This window comes from Homo sapiens, chromosome 4, assembly GCF_000001405.40.
Source record: "Homo sapiens chromosome 4, GRCh38.p14 Primary Assembly".
In the NCBI taxonomy this organism is placed as follows: Eukaryota; Metazoa; Chordata; class Mammalia; order Primates; family Hominidae; genus Homo; species Homo sapiens.
The window spans coordinates 94,295,426-94,316,537 of NC_000004.12; the positions used below are offsets into that span (position 1 = coordinate 94,295,426).

At 39.2% G+C, this 21,112-nt stretch overlaps 1 protein-coding gene across 2 annotated transcripts in view; it reads right to left on the reverse strand.

Annotated features, from left to right (window-relative positions):
• Positions 3,110-21,112, reverse strand: part of HPGDS (hematopoietic prostaglandin D synthase) — a 44,302-nt gene continuing 26,299 nt past the window's right edge. For both annotated transcript variants that reach the window (XM_005262932.4, NM_014485.3), the window contains 3 exons: positions 13,209-13,318; positions 6,721-6,819; positions 3,110-4,219 (listed from right to left, as the gene is read on the reverse strand). In XM_005262932.4, the coding sequence (XP_005262989.1) occupies positions 4,055-4,219; positions 6,721-6,819; positions 13,209-13,318 (374 nt within the window). In that variant the 3' untranslated portion in view covers positions 3,110-4,054. The remainder of the gene's footprint in view (positions 4,220-6,720; positions 6,820-13,208; positions 13,319-21,112) is intronic.

Here is a 21,112-nt window from a genome sequence, read left to right on the forward strand (position 1 = left end):
TGACCGCACTAACCATGCCTAGGAAGGAAAGGAGTTGTTGTTTTGTAAGGGATTGAGGTTTGAGAGATTAATCGGACATGATCAGCAGGGAAAGCACGTGTGTTTTTATGAGAATTATGCCGAGATAGGTAACAGATGAGGATGAAATTTGGGCTTGACTGAAGTAATGGGGGCTGTCTGTGAAGCCTTGCGGCAGTACAGCCTAGGTAATTTGCTGAGTCAGGGCCAAAGTGAAAGCAAAGAGAGACTGGGATGAAGGGTGCAAAGGAATAGTAAAGAAAGCACGTTTGAGATCTAGAACAGAATAATGGGTAGTAGAGGGAGGTATTGAGGATAGGAGAATATATGGGTTTGGCACCACGGGGTGGATAGGCAAAACAATTTGGTTGATAAGGTGCAGATTCTGAACTAACTTGTAAGCCTTGTCTGGTTTTAGGACAGGTAAAATGGGGGAATGGTAAGGAGAGTTTATAGGCTTTAAAAGGTCATGCTGTAGCAGGCAAGTGATAACAGGCTTTAATCCTTTTAAAGCATGCTTTGGGATGGGATCTTGACATTGAGCGGGGTAAGGGTGATTAGGTTTTAATGAGATGGGAAGGGGTGCATGATCGGTCGCCAAGGAGGGAGTAGAGGTATCTTATACTTGTGGGTTAAGGTGGGGGGATATAAGAGGAGGACACAAAGGAGGCTTTGGATTGGGAAGAAGGGCAGCAATGAGATGTAGCTGTAGTCCAGGAATAGTCAGGGAAGCAGATAATTTAAAGTGTCTCAGCCTAATAAGGGAACTGGGCAGGTGGGGATAACTAAAAAGGAGTGCTTAAAAGAGTATTGTCTAAGTTGGCACCAGAGTTGGGGAGTTTTAAGAGGTTTAGAAGCCTGGCCGTCAATACCCACAACAGTTATGGAGGCAAGGGAAACAGGCCCTTGAAAAGAAGGTAATGTGGAGTGGGTAGCCTCCATATTGATTAAGAAGGGGACGGACTTACCTTCCACTGTGAGAGTTACCCGAAGCTCGGGGTCCGTGATGGTCTACGGGGCTTCCGAGGCGATCGGGCAGCATCAGTCTTCAGCCGCTAAGCCGAGGAGTCAGTCAGAGAGCCTTGGGCCAGAGTTCCAGGGGCTCTGGGAGTGGCTGCCAGGTGAGTTGAACAGTCCAATTTCCAGTGGGGTCCCGCACAGATGGGACATGTCTTAGGAGGAATCCTGGGCTGCAGGCATTCCTTGGCCTAGTGGTCAGATTTCTGGCACTTGTAGCAAGCTCCTGGGGGAGGAGGTTCTGGAGGAACGCCTGTCCGCTGCAGTTCAGGCATTTGGAAGTTCTTGTGTGCTGGAGATGTGGCTGGGGTTTGTCTCACAGTGGAGGCCAGGAATTGCAACTTTTTTCTATTATTGTACACCTTGAAGGCGAGGTTAATTAAATCCTGTTGTGGGGTTTGAGGGCCAGAATTTAATTTTTGGAGTTTTATTTAATGTCGGGAGCAGATTGGGTAATACAATGTATATTGAGAATAAGATAGCCTTTTGACCTTTTAGGGTCTAGGGCTGTAAAGCGTCTCAGGGTTGCTGCCGAACGAGCCATGAACTGGGCTGGGTTTTTATATTTGATGAAAAAGCCTAAACACTATCTGATTTGGGATAAAGAAAAAGGAGCATTAACCTTGACTATGCCTTTAGCTCCAGCCACCTTTTTAAGAATAAATTGCTGGGCAGGTGGGGGAGGGCTAGTCACAGAACGAAACTGTAAGCCAGACCAGGTGTGAGGAGGGGAGGCGATAAAAAGATTATAGGGTGGAGGAGTGGAGGCTGAGGAAGAATTGGGACCTAGCTTGGCCTGGCTAGGAGGGGAGAGGTCAGATGGGTCTGTAGAAAAGGAAGATTAGAAAGACTCAGCGACGCTTGGCGTTGGGACTGAGGGGACAGGCAGGAGATTTGGGACGAGTTGCATTGGGCACAGAGACTAGGAATGGACTGATGTGTAAAAGAATGCCTGGATGTCAGGCACCTCAGACCATTTGCCCATTTTACGACAGGAATTATTTAGATCTTGTAGGACGGAAAAATTGAAAGTGCCGTTTTCCGGCTATTTGGAACTACTGTCGAGTTTGTATTGGGGTCAAGCGACATTGCAGAAGAAAATAAGACACTTAGATTTTAGGTCAGGTGAGAGTTGAAGAGGTTTTAAGTTCTTAAGAATACAGGCTAAGGGAGAAGAAGGAGGAATGGAAGGTGGAAGCTTGCCCATAGTGAAGGAGGCAAGCCCAGAGAAAAGAGAGCGTAGAGACACGGAGGGAAGGGGTTTGGGGGTTCTTGCCCCCTAGAAAAGCAGGACTTGCCGCTAAGGGTGAAGGAGAAGGGGTTGAGGGGTACTTGCCCCTGCCCCAGGAAAGCGGAACTTGCCGCTAAGCGTGAAGGAGAAGGGGTTGAGGGGTACTTGCCCCTGCCCCAGGAAAGCGGGACTTGCCGCTAAGGGTGAAGGAGAAGGGGTTGAGGGGTACTTGCCCCTGCCCCAGGAAAGCAGAGAAGGGGTAGAGACAAGGAGAGAAGGGGTTGGGGTACTTGCCCCTTCCCCAGAAAAGCGGGACTTGCCGCTAAGGGTGAAGGACCAAGGCAGGCGTCCCTGCGTGGTCTGACACCCTTGATACATGGGTGTATAATCAGAGAGGCGTCCCTGCATTGATTAAACACCAAGGGAAGGCTGCCTTCCCAGTCCGTGACCGGCGCCGGAGTTTTGGGTCCACGGATAAAACGTGTCTCTTTTGTCTCTACCAGAAAATGAAAGGAATTGAAATTAAGAGAAGGGAGAGATTGAAGTGTAGCGCCAAGATTGAAAGGAGAAAGAGGTTGAGGGATAGTGAGGGAAGTTGGAGAAGAGAGTAAAAAGAGGCCGCTTACCGGATTTGAAATTGGTGTGATGTTTCTTGGGCTGGGCGGTCTGAGGACCTGAGGTCATAGGTGGATCTTTCTCACGGAGCAAAGAGCAGGAGGACAGGGGATTGATCTCCCAAGGGAGGTCCCCCAATCCGAGTCACGGCACCAAATTTCATACGCGTCCGTGTGAAGAGACCACCAAACAGGCTTTGTGTGAGCAACGTGGCTGTTTATTTCACCTGGGTGCAGGTGGGCTGAGTCCGAAAAGAGAGTCAGCCGAGTTTTATGAGTTCTATATAATTTTGAATAATAGTCTTTTGTCAGATACATGTTTTACAAGTATTTTCTCCAAGTCTGTGGCTTGTCTTCTCCTTCTCTTGATCTCTGGGGTATCTACATTTTTCTCATCACAACAACTTTATTCATGTCAGTAAATTCATCTTTACAAGTTTCTCTGGCTGCATATCTAGAGCCTTTTGAGCCGTGTCAGATTCCCACAGTCAGCTCTTTTCTCGATAACTCTTTATATTCAGTTTGAATTTCATTCCAGGATTATCAGTTTTTGTTCCTTTGCTGCACTTTCATCTTTGTTGGGGAGTTCCCTCTTTTGATTCATTTTTGTAAAATGTCAAAGGGATTTATCACTGGGCCACAAGCAGGCAATAGCAATACAACTACACACTTTGCTATCTATGCAGGAATAACAGATGTGCAGTGACCTCTGGCAGTCTTTGATAGAAGTGACTGGTCATTGGTCATGATGTACATAGGTTATTTACACAGCGATATGTGAACTGGAGAGCTACTAGCAAAGTTTGTGTTTTATGCAATTACAGGTAATTGTGGTAGCTGAAGTCCAAAACATTTTGGGGGAGGGGAAGAATGGTGTTGCTAAACCATTATGACTGCAATTCGTGCATGTTAGAACCTGTGCAAAGCAAGGTCTGCCTGTATTACATACTATTTTTCTGTAATTGTAAATGATGAGAAGCTATTCTGAAAGAAAAAGATACTGAAGAAAGATTTGTTTTTATTTTCCTTTTTAAAAATCAGAATATGGCTAAAGTGAAAATCTTAGTGGAGCTGGGGAGGGAGCATGTGGATTATCTGGCAGGCTGATGTAGCTGTCTTATCTGATGAGAGAGATGCCCCCGAGAAAAACAAACTTGAAGGCAACATGGATCAGCTAGAGTTTGGTTTGGGGCCTTCGTTTTATCCAGTTAGCGACGGCAGGAATGGCTTGGACTTTCTTCCGTAAAGTCACCAGCCTTGGATGGTTGTCTAACAGGTCAGGCTTAAAGACCAAAAGTGTGGTACTGCAAATCTCCCAGTAGAAGTCTGCCCAAGTTACCTAGTTTAAAGGAAACAAACTTTTCATTTGAACATAGAAAGTGTAGCTGTATCAGCATTCCAAAATTGAAATTAGTTTCTTAATCTAAAAGATTCAAAACAATCTTGTTATTACAAAAGCAGAATGTTTATATGATAGAAGTTCAGAAAATTACTGATATCACACTCCAGCAATCAGGTTACTACTATTAAACATTTTCGTGTATAAGATATTTTTCTATGCTGATAGATGTTGTTTTACTAACATGAGATCTTAATGGTACATACTCTTGTAACCTTGTCCAGTCTCCACCTCTCTGTGACAATACATTTTCCTTATCCAATAACCAATACGTATTTTTCCATCTGTTCTAAAATTGCCCTTTACAGGACAAAGCAGGATCTATTCCAGGTCTATGCATTTGATCTGCTTATGTCCATTAACTCTTCAAAGCAGTACCCTTTTTTTCACATCACCAAATTATTGAAGATTTCACACTAGTCCTACAGAATGTTCTATCTTCAGGACCTTTGTATTTCATCTTACCTTGTTCCTTTGTACTACGTAGTATAAAGGAAGGTGCAGGTTACTCTTAGAGGGTATATAATTTCAAGTGAAATATTTGTGGCTAAAATACATTATATTGTATCACATAAAAAGAATATATGGATGTCTGACCATTAGGGGTATGCCAAGATTGGCCACTGGATTAGTGATGACAGCCTGGTCCTACCATTGTACAGTTGTATGTTTTTATCTTTGTGTTAGAAACTAATCTGTATGCTGTTACTTTGGCTCCATATGATTATCAAAGAGTGAAGTTTAAATGTGGCCCACTCTTTTTTCTTTTTGTATAGAATTTAATAAAGCTGATTGCTAGTGCCTCAGGAACTTATTAAACATCTGTCAGCCAAGAGAAGCTACTGGCTGGAAGACTCAGAATTCAGAATAAATCCAGAATTTATTCAAATATTTATCAAGCACCTACTGTGTGCCATGCCCAGGTTTAGGTGCTGGAGAGCAAGGTAGGATGCAAGCCCTTCTCTCATGTAGCTTTTATTTTAGAAGGGAAAAGCAAATATGCAAAATGATAGGGGTTAGGAAAAAAAAAAAGTGAAGTCATGTGATGGACTATGACATGGTCAGAGAGGACTTTTTAAGAGGTGACACGTAAGCCCAGGCTTAAATATAAAAAAAGATTAAGACCTGCAGTGAGCAATCTGGGGATTAAGCGTTCCAGGTATAGGGAAATGCGTAAAGGCCCTTAAGTGGGAATGTGAGTTAGGTCTGAGGGACACACACACCAGTGTGGAGCACTGTGAAGAAGGGAGAGAGTGCCCAGAGATGAGATCAGAACATCATTTACAAAGGAATCTTAATAGAAAATGAAAAATAAATTCTTAGAAATTTTTCAATAGGGCAGGGAGAGGAGCATTTTAGTAAAGGCTATGAGGGGAGTCAGAAGAAATGAAGGGGTATGTGAAGAGGTTGAAAGTTGAGAATAAAGATGTGGCAAATGTAGTTCTGTATCACCCAGAAGGGCTGAACAGGGCAGACAGCAGAGTGTCAGCATGCTACAAAAAAGCAGTCTTATCTCCCAAAATGCAGTCTCCCTGAAGGTAGAGACCTCCACCTACCACAACTTGTAATCAGGTTTAGATTTGAATTTTTTGGCAAGACTACTAGGTGGTAGTGTGCCTAGTATCTGGTTGTCTAACTTTTTTGTGATTATTGATGGTCCATGCCTACGCCAATTAATTTTTCTGGGGTTGGAAAGTGGTGATAGTTTATTTCAGTCTTTCTTTCTTATCTATTAACTGGAATACTTTCATGAAGACAAACTTTTTCCAACTGATCGAGATATAAAATGCTTCATAATTTATCCTGATATAAAATACATATGAGTTTATACTGTTAGCTGTAGTTCAAGTTCAGGAATGGATATTTACTTGACCTTACTCACCTTACATCTCTATCTCCGTTCTCCCACATTGAAGATCCTGGTTCTCAGTGACATCAACACAATTTATTTTTGTACCCACAATATAATTATAATAATACCAGAAAAAAAATACCAATAGTTTGTAGTACCACCAACAATATGATTACTGAAAATAGTATATGATTTTTTGTTGTTCTAAGCTAAGAGATATCTGTCTTAGATGTATAATCAGATTAGTGTGTTTTACAAATGATACTTCTTGAAATAGTTCTTCTCTAGTAGAGTACATATGTATTCTGTGTGTTCTCTATGCACCTCTTTTGCATAGTTAGGTTCATTTACTTTGCTTTGATTTTTAGGATAGCTTTTTAAGTTTTCGCTGCCAATATATAATTATATAAAATATGGTTCCAAAGTCAAATCTATTTTTTAAAAAGGTTTATTTAAAGAAGTTTAACCTTTGTTCTTGCTGTAAATTCTATCCCCTCCCTATAGGTAACTTTTTTTCAGTAAGTTTTTATACTTCTATTGGTTTGTCCTTTTATTTGCTTGAATTTTTTAAGATATAAAACATACTCACAGAGTTACCAATAAGCCATTCTCTCCCCCCTAAATATGTGTCCAAGTCTTGCATAAGATGAGGCGCATTATACGTGAGCAGCTCATTGAACATCTGCTCCTAGGAGAAGGAGAAAATATCACTTTAAGAATAATGAGAAGAAAAGTAACATGATCTGAGGAGGAAGTAGATTTCTCCATCTTTATTCTCCCACATGAATTCAAGAAGAAAGAGAAGTAGCTAGATTTTTTATTCAAATTTATGACATGGAGATTTAGGTCTGATTCTCTATAGATGTGAGTCATCTCTTTATTGCTCATGGATTAAAAAAATAGTTTTGTGTCACCAGTTCTTAGTTTCTTTGTGTATAATGACTAAATATTTTACCCACAAAATCTTATTTTTTCTTAAATTTACTAAAGTGAAATGATTCTCTTGTCTTTTTAGATTCCTAAAATTTCCCTCTTTCTTAACCTAGCTTTTTTAAAGCTAAATAATGTAACTGAAGGTAAAGAAATTTATTTTATTTCGTAAGGCTAGACTCTTCTAGTTTGGCAGTTCTTCGTTTCACTATTGCGTTTATAATGAATCATGATCTTGGGCCTTTATGTATTTTCTCATTGGACTACCATTGTGCCTCATTATCAGATTTGTCCATCTTGAATATCATCTACAAAATGCATCATCTAGTTATCCCCTCTTGATATATAAACAAATATTATTTAAAAATTAACATCCTTAGGAAAATATATATAAAACATCCATTTTTTTAATTGTCATCATTTTTCTACTTAAAGCTCTGAAGACCAAATAATTTACTCAAGGCCTCTTTCTTGATAAGAGATGTTTGTTTATATATAAGAATTCTGCCTGTTTGAGTCTTGGTTATGAAATAGAAGCCAAACTCAAAAATATAAAATGTATATATCATTTATTAATATGTCTAAATGATCTATAATGAAATCCAACCTTTATTAAGATAAGTCAGATAGTGGATACTGTACCAATTTGCTGATTTACTTGCTGTTATGATTATGACTTAGCTAGATGGTATATACTACCACAACATAATGCCTTATATTTAGAATACAATTTGCAAAAGCATCCTTACATACAGGTTGAGCCTCCCTAGTCCAAAAATCCAAAATGCTCCAAAATCCAAGACGTTTTGAGCATGCGCATGATGCCCAAAGGAAATGCTCAGGGGAACATCTCAGATATCGGTTCTTGAGATTTGGTATGCTCAACCAGTAAGTATAATGCAAATATTCCAAAATCTGAAGAAAACCCCAATTCTGAAATACTTCTGGTCCCAAGAATTTCAGATAAGGGATACTCAACATGTACTTACATATGTTTGCCAGATTTAAAAACCGAAGCTTATAAAGCTTGTCATTATTTTGACTTTATGTTCTTTCCCTTGTTCTATAAAGTGCTCTGTGGTCAGTATGTTCATAGTTTTAAAGAAAACATTAGTTATGAGTCTTTCTGCTGCTTACACAGAATTTGTAATCCCATTGAAGGGCAGTGAGTCGATAACCATGTGGTGCTTGCCACAGATCTGCTCACCTCAGTTGGCATCAGTCAGAAAAGTAATGGCCAATTTGATTGTTGGACAACTTTCCAAAAACTCCTGTGTGCACTCCTGGCAAATTCTGTTCTTCTAACGTGCATTTCCAGAGCTTCAGGTGCACCAATGTTTGTGTATATGCAGAGTCAAATAAAACTCTTATATCTGTGCTACTGACTTCTCCTTGAGCCCAGATTGTCTTTGTAAGTTTGGTGAATTATTTCAGTCTAATGAAATGTAAATTAATAAACAGTGTAATTAGTATTTAAGTTTCATTTTAAAGTACAATCAACCAAAATAACATAAAGAAGATAAGATTTGATTACACTTCTTTTTTTTTCCAGATATATTTTAAAAAACACATTTCCTGATCCATCCTAGATAGCCACTCCTTTACTTGATGGATTCAGAAATTTCTAGCCTCCCTTTTCAGAGGAGGTTTTTTCACCCTGAGAATTTGTTGCTATGAAAGTTTAACAAATGACTTTTAGAGAGGTTCGTATATTTCTCAAAAGCATTTTCAGATATGCACTACCAAAATTATTTTGTGTTGGAACCACGACATCAGAATGTCCTCAGGCCTTCTCATTCTTCTTCCCCATCCTGTTCTTTAGATGAGGAAATGGAAACACAGATACATTAAATAACCAAAGTAACACTAATGGTGAGTTCAAGGATTGTCATGGTGACCAATATCCAAAGGCATCTTTTGCTTTTAATTCTTTTTTTATTGGAAATGGAATTTTTAGTAATAAATACTGTAAAATTGTGTGTATTTGGTAGATTTTTAAGGTGTATATGACAAGAATATATTCACTATCCATCTTAAGTGCATCAATATTCTGCCTTTGAAATTTTCACCTGACCACAAGATGGCAGCAATGTAGCCCACTACCAACAGTCTAAGAAATGAAATACAGAACAGTGCATTTTTCATTATATATTAGCCAAGTCCTGCTTGTTAATTAGATAGTCTATAGCTATCAGCAATGTTTCTGCAACGTGTTCTGCCTTTGTATGATTTAATCATGAACTTGGATTGCTGTGTCCTTTGAAATTGTTTTTTTGGAATTGGTGGTATGTAAGAGAGTTGTTATTCTAATACAAAGGTAGAGTGTTACTCTTATCATAAATGTTCGAAGAATATTTTCCTCTGGGAGGTGGTCTCTGTTATGGAGCCTCAGCCACAGAAAGGTAGAAAATAGAAAAGTAGAGAAGAGCAAACTGATAAATTGATAGACTGCACATTAGGGGGGTGTTTGGTACATGGAACAAAAATCTTTAGACACTTCTAAATTGGAGAGCATCTGTTTCTACATTTATAATGATATGTAAAATACAGATGCCATGTCTGACAAATAGTAAAAACAATTAACACCAAAGTATATAACACTATTAATTATAATAGTTAATATTTAACACTTCCTACCTAGCCATAGGCACATATGCTAACATTTAATCCTGCCAACATACTTCAAAGTAGAGCCTGTTGTATTCCCACTTTACAAAGAGTTTGAACTATAAATAGGGAGTTAAGTGACAGCTAGTAAGAAGGGAATCAGGATTCAACCTGGCAGTTTGACTCCAGAGCCTAAATGTACTTATGTCAAAAAGTTGTATTTCTATCATCAAAGCTGAGCTTCATTATTTCCTGGCTAGGCCTATATATATACGTGTGTGTGTGGGCAGACCCTACACACCTTACATTTATATCATGGAGTTAGTCAATGTAAATACTTTTGTGTCCGGATATCTCTATTCAAATCAGAAGGTGCTAATTAAATAGTATTTACAATAAATACTAAGTAGATAGTATGTGCTTAAATATGTGCTTAAGTAAATTGATAAGACTGCCTGCTATTTGTGCTGTGGCTTTCGACTATAGGCTTTAGCTTTAACATGTACATAAATATTCATGCGCAGCTGTTTTGAACAGCTGCTTGCACTGTGGTATTATACCCAGTGGTTAAGAACCTGGGGTTTGAGTCAGTGACGATTTGAATTCCTTCTGCACCACTTCTAGCTGAACAATTTTGGGTAAGTTGTTTACACTACATGAAACTCTTGTTTTCTTACTTGGAAGATGAGGATAACAGCAGTTTCATTCTAAAGGAATGCTTAAATTAGTTACTAATTTAAGCAATTGTATACCTAGGTGATGAGGCTATGGGATCTAAATTCAGCTGTCTGGGCTCAGTTCACAGTTCTGTCAGTTGTGTGACTTTGGGCAACTCTGTAACTTCTGTTTCTCAGTGTCTTCATCTGGAAAGTGAGCATGACAATAAAAAGCACTTATCTTGAAGTGGGAGGAGGGCTGACTGAGATAACACATAGAGCTGAGAGTAACACAGGCACATGGTGTGCATTTGATGAGTGTGGTTCTGATCACTTATTCAACAAGTGTGTAATGCCTACTATGTAAAAGGCACTGTGATGGCGGTGGGGGATCAGTTGAATAATACAGACATGATTCCTACCCCACGATGCATCCAGCTTGAGGAGACAAACAACAAACAAGTAATCACACACCACCTGCCAGTCTCTTTAAAATAGAGACTGTGATGAGCGTCCTAAAGGAAACCACTAGAAGCTGTAATAAAGACGTCTATTTAGAATTCTGCATAAAGATGAATAATTTGACAAATATATATCATTTTGCATTCATCTCTAAACCACAGTAATGAATATTTTTAAAAAGATAGAACCCACAAGGAAGTGGAAAGAGAGGAGATAAGAGCAAACAAAATTTGAAGCTAGTAAGCAGATGGGTGAATGGCACCTGTGAAGGGAAAGCCAAGAACCAATCCTATCAACAACACAAAATCCTTAAATGGCTCAGGAAATGACCGGATATGTCTAGAACTGGGGTTAAGGAGGTTTGGGAGGGGATAAAATGAGGATTGGTGGAAAACTATTAAGCGGTTTTAGCATGGGATGTTCTTCATTTTACATTACTAGACAGCTGTCCCTTCCCCATTCTTAGCGGAAAACAGCCTAAGAATTTTTATAAATTTAGAAGCACAATATCAGAAATTTAGAACTCAAGGACTGATGAGAAATGCTTTCTAAAAGTAATGCAGAAAAGCCAAGAGACGGGAAATAGGAAAAGAGCCAACCAACATCTGAATTACTGGAATTCTACTATAATGGAACAAAGAAAATAAAGGGGGAGGAAATCATTAATGAAAGAATTAAAGGAAATGTCCTTGAACTAAAGGACATGGGTCCCAGATTGAACGGAATCACCAAGGAAACAGCACAATGGATGAAAACAAGATCATACCAAGACTCACCATTGCAAAATTTTAGAACTCTAAGGGCACGTGTTTTGTAATCTTTCAGAGTGGAAAAAAAATAGGTCACATACAAAAGGTCAGTAATTACATTGAATTCAAACTTCTCAACAGCCTTTCAAATACTAATGAAAAACTACTTTCATCAGAATTCTACACCCAGTCAAACTATAAACAAGTTTGAGAATAAAATAAAAACATCTTTAAACAAATAAGGCCCCAAAAGCCCCAAACTTTTATTTCCTATGACCAGTAAGCTCTTAGAGGACTGTTCCACAAAAGCAAGGAAAGAAAACAGGAGAATGAACCCAGGAAAACATAAAAAAAAAAAAAAAATCCTGGGTAATAATAAAGATCTCAGGATGACAACTGTGACCAAGTATCTAGGACAACCATACCAGAGCGAAGCAGTGTGACTCACAAGATAGACATATCCATGCCATCTGTCATAATCATATCTGCTGTCATCAAGCCTTCATTTTAACTTTTGGAATACTAGAGGATGTGCCCCCAAATAAACAATGGAGTAAACAAAGAAAGAAGGCAGCATCCAGGAACAGGACTCCAGCTCCATAGAATGGCATCACTGGAATAACAGCAAAGGGAATTCCAATGATGACAGCTGTGCAGAAAACCTGGAGAACTCCACAAAGAATGGAAGTCTCCTAGAGAGCGCTCCAAGAAATATTGGAAATAACAGATGAACTGACACTACGTTGACCTTGTGGAAAATCGTATTGGCAGGCTATTGGATACTGTGGAAAGTCAGCAGTAAAAGTGAAAAGAAGCAAAAGAAAGCAATTACTAATTTTAAGGAAGAAAAGTGAGAAAGAAAATATAAAAGCATACTACAGTGCACAGTTCTGTGCATTATTTGCATAGCCTACTAATCACAGGATAATTAACCAAAAAATTTTCACATCACAATATTGGGAGCTTGGTGAAAAGGAAGCAGAAAGGATGACTATGTAAGAGAAAAATTGTTATTTCAGGTTGAGATCCCTTATCCAACATGCTTGGGAACAGAATTGTGTTGAATTCCAGACTTTTTCAGATTTTGGAATGTTTGCATATACATAATGAGATATATAGGGGATGGGGCCTAAATCTAAAAACCAAATTCATTTATGTTTCATTTACACCTTATACACATAGCCAAAGGTAATTTTATACAGTATTTTCAATAATTTTGCACATTTGCTAAAGTTTGTGTTAAGTACTTACATGTGGAATTTTCCACTTGTGCTGTTATCTTGGTACTTAAAACGTTTTGGAGTTTGGGGCATTTTGGACTTCAGACTTTCAGGTTAGGAATGCTTAACCTGTACTATCATAAGTCCTGAGAAATCATTTACAATTGGTCAATCAGAGGAAGTCATATTTATTTATCCTATAGAAATATGGAAATGTGTAAATCCTAAAGAAACTGCTAAACAAAGTTTTAAAAGGGTTGCATCTGGGGAGGAGTTAATGTGAAGGGGTACAATAGGGAATTGCTGTACTTTATTTTAAACTTTTAAAATATAATTTGGTATTTTAAAATTATACATATTCTTTTGATATTAAGGAACTTTCTAAGGCACCTAACACAATGTCTGGCAGGTGGTATATAATTAATACTAGGAATAGCAAATGGATCACATTACTTTCACATCTTGCTTTTTCTCTGCCCAAGGAAAACATGACATGAAATCATCCAGAGTGTCCACAATAGCATCAACATGACATTGTTCCATTTCTGTGTTTCCAGCCAAATCTGTGGAATAGAGAGAGGCCCATCAATATGTTTAATTTACTATATTAAAAAGTTTGTTTTTAACAGATAGTATACTCATATGGTTGAAAATTCAAAGAGTGTAAAACAATATCCAGTGAAGACTAGCTTCCATCCACCACATTTTGCTCCCTTACCTACCTACCTTACTGGTACCACTTTAATTAGTATTCTACATTATTTCTTTATGAAAATACAAGCAAATAAAATATATATCCCACTAGATATGCTTCCTCATCCCATGTCCCCTACATATCTTTCTTTACAAGTACCCAAAGGGTGTACTTGCTTTTTTTTTTTTTTTTTTTTTTTTTTGGCTACATAGGGATTCATTGAGGTAGATGCGCCACAATTTATTTTTTTATTTTTTTAATTATACTTTAAGTTCTAAGGTACATGTGCACAACATTCAGGTTTGTTACATATGTATACATGTGCCATGTTGGTGTGCTGCACCCATTAACTCGTCATTTACATTAGGTATATCTCCTAATGCTATCCCTCCCGCCTCCCCCCACCCCACAACAGGCCCCGGTGTGTGATGTTCCCCTTCCTGTGTCCATGTGTTCTCATGGTTCAATTCCCACCTATGAGAGAGAAGAGTGAGAACATGCAGTGTTTGGTTTTTGGTCCTTGAGATAGTTTGCTGAGAATGATGGTTTCCAGCTTCATCCATGACCCTACAAAGGACATGAACTCATCATTTTTTATGGCTGCATAGTATTCCATGGTGTATATGTGCCACATTTTCTTAATCCAGTCTATCATTGTTGGACATTTGACTTGGTTCCAAGTCTTTGCTATTGTGAATAGTGCTGCAATAAACATACGTGTGCATGTGTCTTTATAGCAGCATGATTTATAATCCTTTGGGTATATACCCACTAATGGGATGGCTGGGTCAAATGGTATTTCTAGTTCTAGATCCCTGAGGAATCACCACACTGACTTCCACAATGGTTGAACTAGTTTACAGTCCCACCAACAGTGTAAAAGTGTTCCTATTTCTCCACATCCTCTCCAGCACCTGTTGTTTCCTGACTTTTTAATGATCGCCATTCTAACTGGTGTGAGATGGTATCTCATTGTGGTTTTGATTTACATTTCTCTGATGGCCAGTGATGACGAGCATTTTTTCATGTGTCTTTTGGCTGCATAAATGTCTTCTTTTGAGAAGTGTCTGTTCATATCTTTCGCCCACTTGTTAATGGGGTTGTTTGCTTTTTTCATGCAAATATGTTTGAGTTCTTTATAGATTCTGGATATTAGCCCTTTGTCAGATGAGTAGATTGCAAAAATTTTCTCCCATTCTGTAGGTTGCCTGTTCACTCTGATGGTAGTTTCTTTTGCTGTGCAGAAGCTCTTTAGTTTAATTAGATCCCATTTGTCAATTCTGGCTTTTGTTGCCATTGCTTTTGGTGTTTTAGACATGAAGTCCCTGCCCATGCCTATATCCTGAATTGTATTGCCTAGGTTTTCTTGTAGGGTTTTTATGGTTTTAGGTCTAACATTGAAGTCTTTAATCCATCTTGAATGAATTTTTGTATAAGGTGTAAGGAAGGGATCCAGTTTCAGCTTTCTCCATATGGCTAGCCAGTTTTCCCAGCACCATTTATTAAATAGGGAATCCTTTCCCCATTTCTTGTTTTTGTCAGGTTTGTCAAAGATCAGATGGTTGTAGATGTGTGGTATTATTTCTGAGGGCTCTGTTCTGTTCCACTGGTCTGCCTATATCTCTGTTTTGGTACCAGTACCATGCTGTTTTGGTTACTGTAGCCTTGTAGTATAGTTTGAAGTCGGGTAGCGTGATGCTTCCAGCCTTGTTCTTTTTGCTTAGGATTGACTTGGCAATGCAGGCTCTTTTTTGGTTCCATATGAACTTTAAAGTAGTTTTTTTCCAATTCTGTGAAGAAAGTCACTGGTAGCTTGATGGGAACGGCACTAAATCTATAAATTACCTTGGGCAGTATGGCCATTTTCACAACATTGATTCTTCCTACCCATGAGCATGGAATGTTCTTCCATTTGTTTGTATCCTCTTTTATTTTGTTGAGCAGTGTTTTGTAATTCTCCTTAAAGAGGTCCTTCACATCCCTTGTAAGTTGGATTCCTAGGTATTTTATTCTCTTTGAAGCAATTGTGAATGGGAGTTCACTCATGATTTGGCTCTCTGTTTGTCTGTTATTGGTGTATAAGAATACTTGTGATTTTTGCACATTGATTTTGTATCCTGAGACTTTGCTGAAGTTGCTTATCAGCTTAAGGAGATTTTTGGCTGAGATGATGGGGTTTTCTAAATATACAATCATGTCATCTGCAAACGGGGACAATTTGACTTCCCCTTTTCCTAATTGAATAACATTTATTTCCTTCTCTTGCCTGATTGCCCTGGCCAGAACTTCCAACACTGTGTTGAATAGGAGTGGTGTGAGAGGGCATCCCTGTCTTGTGCCAGTTTTCAAAGGGAATGCTTCCAGTTTTTGCCCATTCAGTATGATATTGGCTGTGGGTTTGTCACAGATAGCTCTTACTATTTTGAGATACGTCCCATCTATACCTAATTTATTGAGAGTTTTTAGCATGAAGGGCTGTGGAATTGTGTCCAAGGCCTTTTCTGCATCTATTGAGATAATCATGTGGTTTTTTGTCATCGGTTGTGTTTATATGCTGGATTACGTTTATTGATTTGCATATGTTGAACCAGCCTTGCATCCCAGGAATGAAGCCCACTTGATCATGGTGGATAAGGTTTTTGATGTGTTGCTGGATTCAGTTTGCCAGTATTTTATTGAGGATTTTCCAATCGATGTTCATCAAGGATATTGGTCTAAACTTCTCTTTTTTTGTTGTGTCTCTGCCAGGCTTTGGTATCAGGATGATGCTGGCCTCATAAAATGAGTTAGGGAGGATTCCCTCTTTTTCTATTGATTGGAATAGTTTCAGAAGGAATGGTACCAGCTCCTCCTTGTATCTCTGGTAGAATTCAGCTGTGAGTCCATCTGGTCCTGGACTTTTTTTGGTTGGTAAGCTATAAATTATTGCCTCAATTTGAGAGTCTGTTATTGGACTATTCAGAGATTCAACTTCTTCCTGGTTTAGCCTTGGGAGGGTGTATGTGTCGAGGAATGTATCCATTTCTTCTAGATTTTCTAGTTTATTTGTGTAGAGGTGTTTATAGTATTCTCTGATGGTAGTTTGTATTTCTGTGGGATCTGTGGTTATATCCCCTTTATCATTTTTTATTGCATCTATTTGATTCTTCTCTCTTTTCTTCTTTATTAGTGTTGCCAGCAGTCTATCAATTTTGTTGATCTTTTCAAAAAATAAGCTCCTGGATTCATTGATTTTTTGAAGGGTTTTTTGTGTCTCTATCTCCTTCAGTTCTGCTCTGATTTTAGTTATTTCTTGCCTTCTGCTAGCTTTTGAATGTGTTTGCTCTTGCTTTTCTAGTTCTTTTAATTGTGATGTTAGGGTGTCGATTTTAGATCTTTCCTGCTTTCTCTTGTGGGCATTTAGTGCTATAAATTTCCCTCTACACACTACTTTAAATGTGTCCCAGAGATTCTGGTACGTTGTGTCTTTGTTCTCATTGGTTTCAAAGAACATCGTTATTTCTGCCTTCATTTCGTTATGTACCCAGTAGTCATTCAGGAGCAGGTTGTTCAGTTTACATGTAGTTGAGCGGTTTTGAGTGAGTTTCTTAATCCTGAGTTCTAATTTGATTGCACTGTGGTCTGAGAGACAGTTTGTTGTGATTTCTGTTCTTTTACATTTGCTGAGGAGTGCTTTACTTCCAACTATGTGGTCAACTTTGGAGTAAGTGTGGTGTGGTGCTGAGAAGAATGTATATTCTGTTGATTTGGGGTGGAGAGTTCTGTAGATGTCTATTAGGTCCACTTGGTGCAGAGCTGACTTCAATTCCTGGATATCCTTGTTAACTTTCTGTCTCATTGATCTGTCTAATGTTGACAGTGGGGTGTTAAAATCTCCCATTATTGTATGGGAATCTCAGTCTCTTTGTAGGTCTCTAAGGACTTGGTTTATGAAACTGGGTGCTCCTGTATTGGGTGCATATATATTTAGGATAGTTAGCTCTTCTTGTTGAATTGATCTCTTTACCATTATGTAATGGCCTTCTTTGTCTCTTTTGATCTTTGTTGGTTTAAAGTCTGTTTTATCAGAGACTAGGATTGCAACCCCTGCTTTTTTTTTGTTTTCCATTTGCTTGGTAGATCTTCCTCCATCCCTTTATTTTGAGCCTATGTGTGTCTCTGCACGTGAGATGGGTTTCCTGAATACAGCACACTGATGGGTCTTGACTCTTTATCCAATTTGCCAGTCTGTGTCTTTTAATTGGAGCATTTAGGCCATTTACATTTAAGGTTAATATTGTTATGTGTGAATTTGATCCTGTCATTATGATGTTAGCTGGTTATTTTGCTCATTAGCTGATGCAGTTTCTTCCTAGCTTGGGTGGTCTTTACAATTTGGCATGTTTTTGCAGGGGCTGGTACTGGTTGTTCCATTCCATGTTTAGTGCTTCCTTCAGGAGCTCTTGTAGGGCAGGCCTAATGGTGACAAAATCTCTCAGCATTTGCTTGTCTGGAAAGGATTTTATTTTTCCTTCACTTATGAAGCTTAGTTTGGCTGGATATGAAATTCTGGGTTGAAAATTCTTTTCTTTAAGAATGTTGAATATTGGCCCCCACTCTCTTCTGGCTTGTAGAGTTTCTGCTGAGAGATCAGCTGTTAGTCTGATGGGCTTTCCTTTGTGGGTAACCCGACCTTTCTCTTTGGCTGCCCTTAACATTTTTTCCTTCATTTCAACTTTGGTGAATCTGACAATTATGTGTCTTGGAGTTGCTCTTCTCGAGGAGTATCTTTGTGGCGTTCTCTGTATTTCCTGAATTTGAATGTTGGCCTGCTTTGCTGGATTGGGGAAGTTCTCCTGGATAATATCCTGCAGAGTGTTTTCCAACTTGGTTCCATTCTCCCCATCACTTTCAGGTACACCAATCAGACGTAGATTTGGTCTTTTCACATAGTCCCATATTTCTTGGAGGCTTTGTTCATTTCTTTTTATTCTTTTTTCTCTAAACTTCTCTTCTTGCTTCATTTCATTCTTTTGATCTTCCATCACTGATACCCTTTCTTCCAGTTGATCAAACCAGCTACTGAAGCTTGTGCATTCATCATGTAGTTCTCGTGCCATGGTTTTCAGCTCCATCAGGTCCTTTAAGGACTTCTCTGCATTGGTTATTCTAGTTAGCCATTCATCTAATCTTTTTTCAAGGTTTTTAAACTCCTTTGCCATGGGTTCAAACTTCCTCCTTTAGCTCGGAGAAGTTTGATCATCTGAAGCCTTCTTCTCTCAACTCATCAAAGTCATTCTCTGTCCAGCTTTGTTCCATTGCTGGTGAGGAGCTGCGTTCCTTTGGAGGAGGAGAGGTGCTCTGATTTTTTGAATTTTCAGTTTTTCTGCTCTGTTTTTTCCCCATCTTTGTGGTTTTATCTACCTTTAGTCTTTGATGATGGTGACGTACAGATGGAGTTTTGGTGTGGATGTCCTTTCTGTTTGTTAGTTTTCCTTTTAACAGTCAGGACCCTCAGCTGCAGGTCTGTTGGAGTTTGCCAGAGGTCCACTCCGGACCCTTTTTGCCTGGGTATCAGCAGCGGAGGCTGCAGAACAGCAAATATTGGTGAACCGCAAATGTTGCTGCCTGATCGTTGCTCTGGACGTTTTGTCTCAGAGGGGTACCCGGCCATGTAAGGTATCAGTCTGCCCCTACTCGGGGGTGCCTCCCAGTTAGGCTACTCAGGGGTCAGAGACCCACTTGAGGAGGCAGTCTGTCCATTCTCAGATCTCAAGCTGCATGCTGGGTAAACCACTATGGTCTCCCAAGCTGTCAGATAGGGACATTTAAGTCTGCAGAGGTTTCTGCTGCCTTTTGTTTGGCTATGCCCTGCCCCCAGAGGTGGAGTCTACGGAGGCAGGCAGGCCTCCTTGAGCTGTGGTGGGCTCCACCCCTTTCGAGCTTCCTGGCAGCTTTGTTTACCTACTCAAGCCTCAGCAATGGTGGGCACCCCTCCCCCAGCCTCGCTGCCGCCTTGCAGTTTGATCTCAGACTGCTGTGCTAGCAATGAGCAAGGCTCCCTGGGCATAGGACCCTCTTAGCCAGGCACGGGATATAATCTCCTGGTGTGCCGTTTGCTAAGACTGTCGGAAACGCGCAGTGTTAGGGTAGGAGTGACCCGATTTTCCAGGTGCCGTCTGTCACCCTTTTCCTTGGCTAGGAAAGATAATCACCTAACCCCTTGCACTTCCTGGGTGAGGCGATGCCTCACCCTGTTTCAGCTCATGCTCGGTGCACTGCACCCACTGTCCTGCACCTACTGTCTGACAATCCCCAGTGAGACAATCCCCGGTACCTCAGTTGGAAATGCAGAAATCATTCATCTTCTGCATCGCTCACGCTTCGAGCTGTAGACTGGAGCTGTTCCTATTCAGTCATCTTGGAACTGCCTCTCCCACAATTTATTTAACTAGCCTCAACTGATTAGGTTTATTTCCAGTCTTTTGTTAATACAAGCAACACTGCAATAAATAACCTGTACCTATGTTATAATTTATTTTGTATCAAGAATTATTTTTATTTTTGCAGACAGTTTTTGTCAGGAGCATTTGTTTTCTGACTGGAGACTAAAATTTTTAAATAATAGAGGGTTTTTTTTCTTTTGTCTCATTTGTTAATCATTATTTTTGGTAATAAATCATTGGTCTTCCTAAAAGTTTTCTCAATGGTGCCAATTTAAAATGCTCCCGTGTAGAAGCTTTCTAAAATGGATTGCTTTTGTAAAACTGTATAAATTTATTAAAAATTAAGAAACTGTATACTGACAGTGGATGAATTGTATGTAAATTATACCTCAATAAAGGTGTTAAAATCGAAAGAAAATTCTTGAACGATTTAGAGTTCCTCTGTAAACTATATTTTTGTGTGTGTGATATTCAAAGGTTGATTATTCGTCTTTCTGACCTTGAATAGTCTTCAGAATTCTTCACTCATTTTCATCCCTACTTTGACTTCCACCTCAAGGCTTCAGCTAAAAATTTATGGAGGTGACTCCTTATTCAATATTTTTAGTCCTAAACCACAGGCTCATTTTTTCAGCCTCCTTTTGGATATATCTCTGATTACTCTTTTGGCCCCTGAACATTCTTCCACAAATCCTCAAATGCAGTCATCACACCTTTTCTCAAACCAGCTCTCCTTTTTTTACCCAACAAATAATTACGGGCCTCAACTGTGACTCAGCCCCAAGTAGTGGCTGTATATAGTAGTATTGAATAGAAGAGGTAAATTCCTTGCATGCATGGCACGTATGGTCAACTGGAGAAGGCAGACATTGAGGAGGGTATTGCAAGTTGAAAAAAGTATTTTGAACAGAAAAGAGAAAGAGACGAAAGAGAAGAGGAGAAGGAGGAAGAAAAGGAGGAAGTAGCAGTATATAGCATATTGAGAACGGCAAACTCTGTCTATGCTGTTCCTCTCCTGGTTAAATAGACTGCCTTCCACATGGCAACGTCTATCTACTGTCTCTAAGATGATTCTACATCCACAAATTTTTCGTATTTTTCTTGGTCTCTCTTCTTTGCCATCTGGACCATTTCAATGATCTCTTAATATGCTTCCCTGCAGTAGCCACAAATACAAAGTAACCACAATAATCTTCCCAAAATGCATAGCGGTAGTTATGCTGCTTTTCTAGATAAAA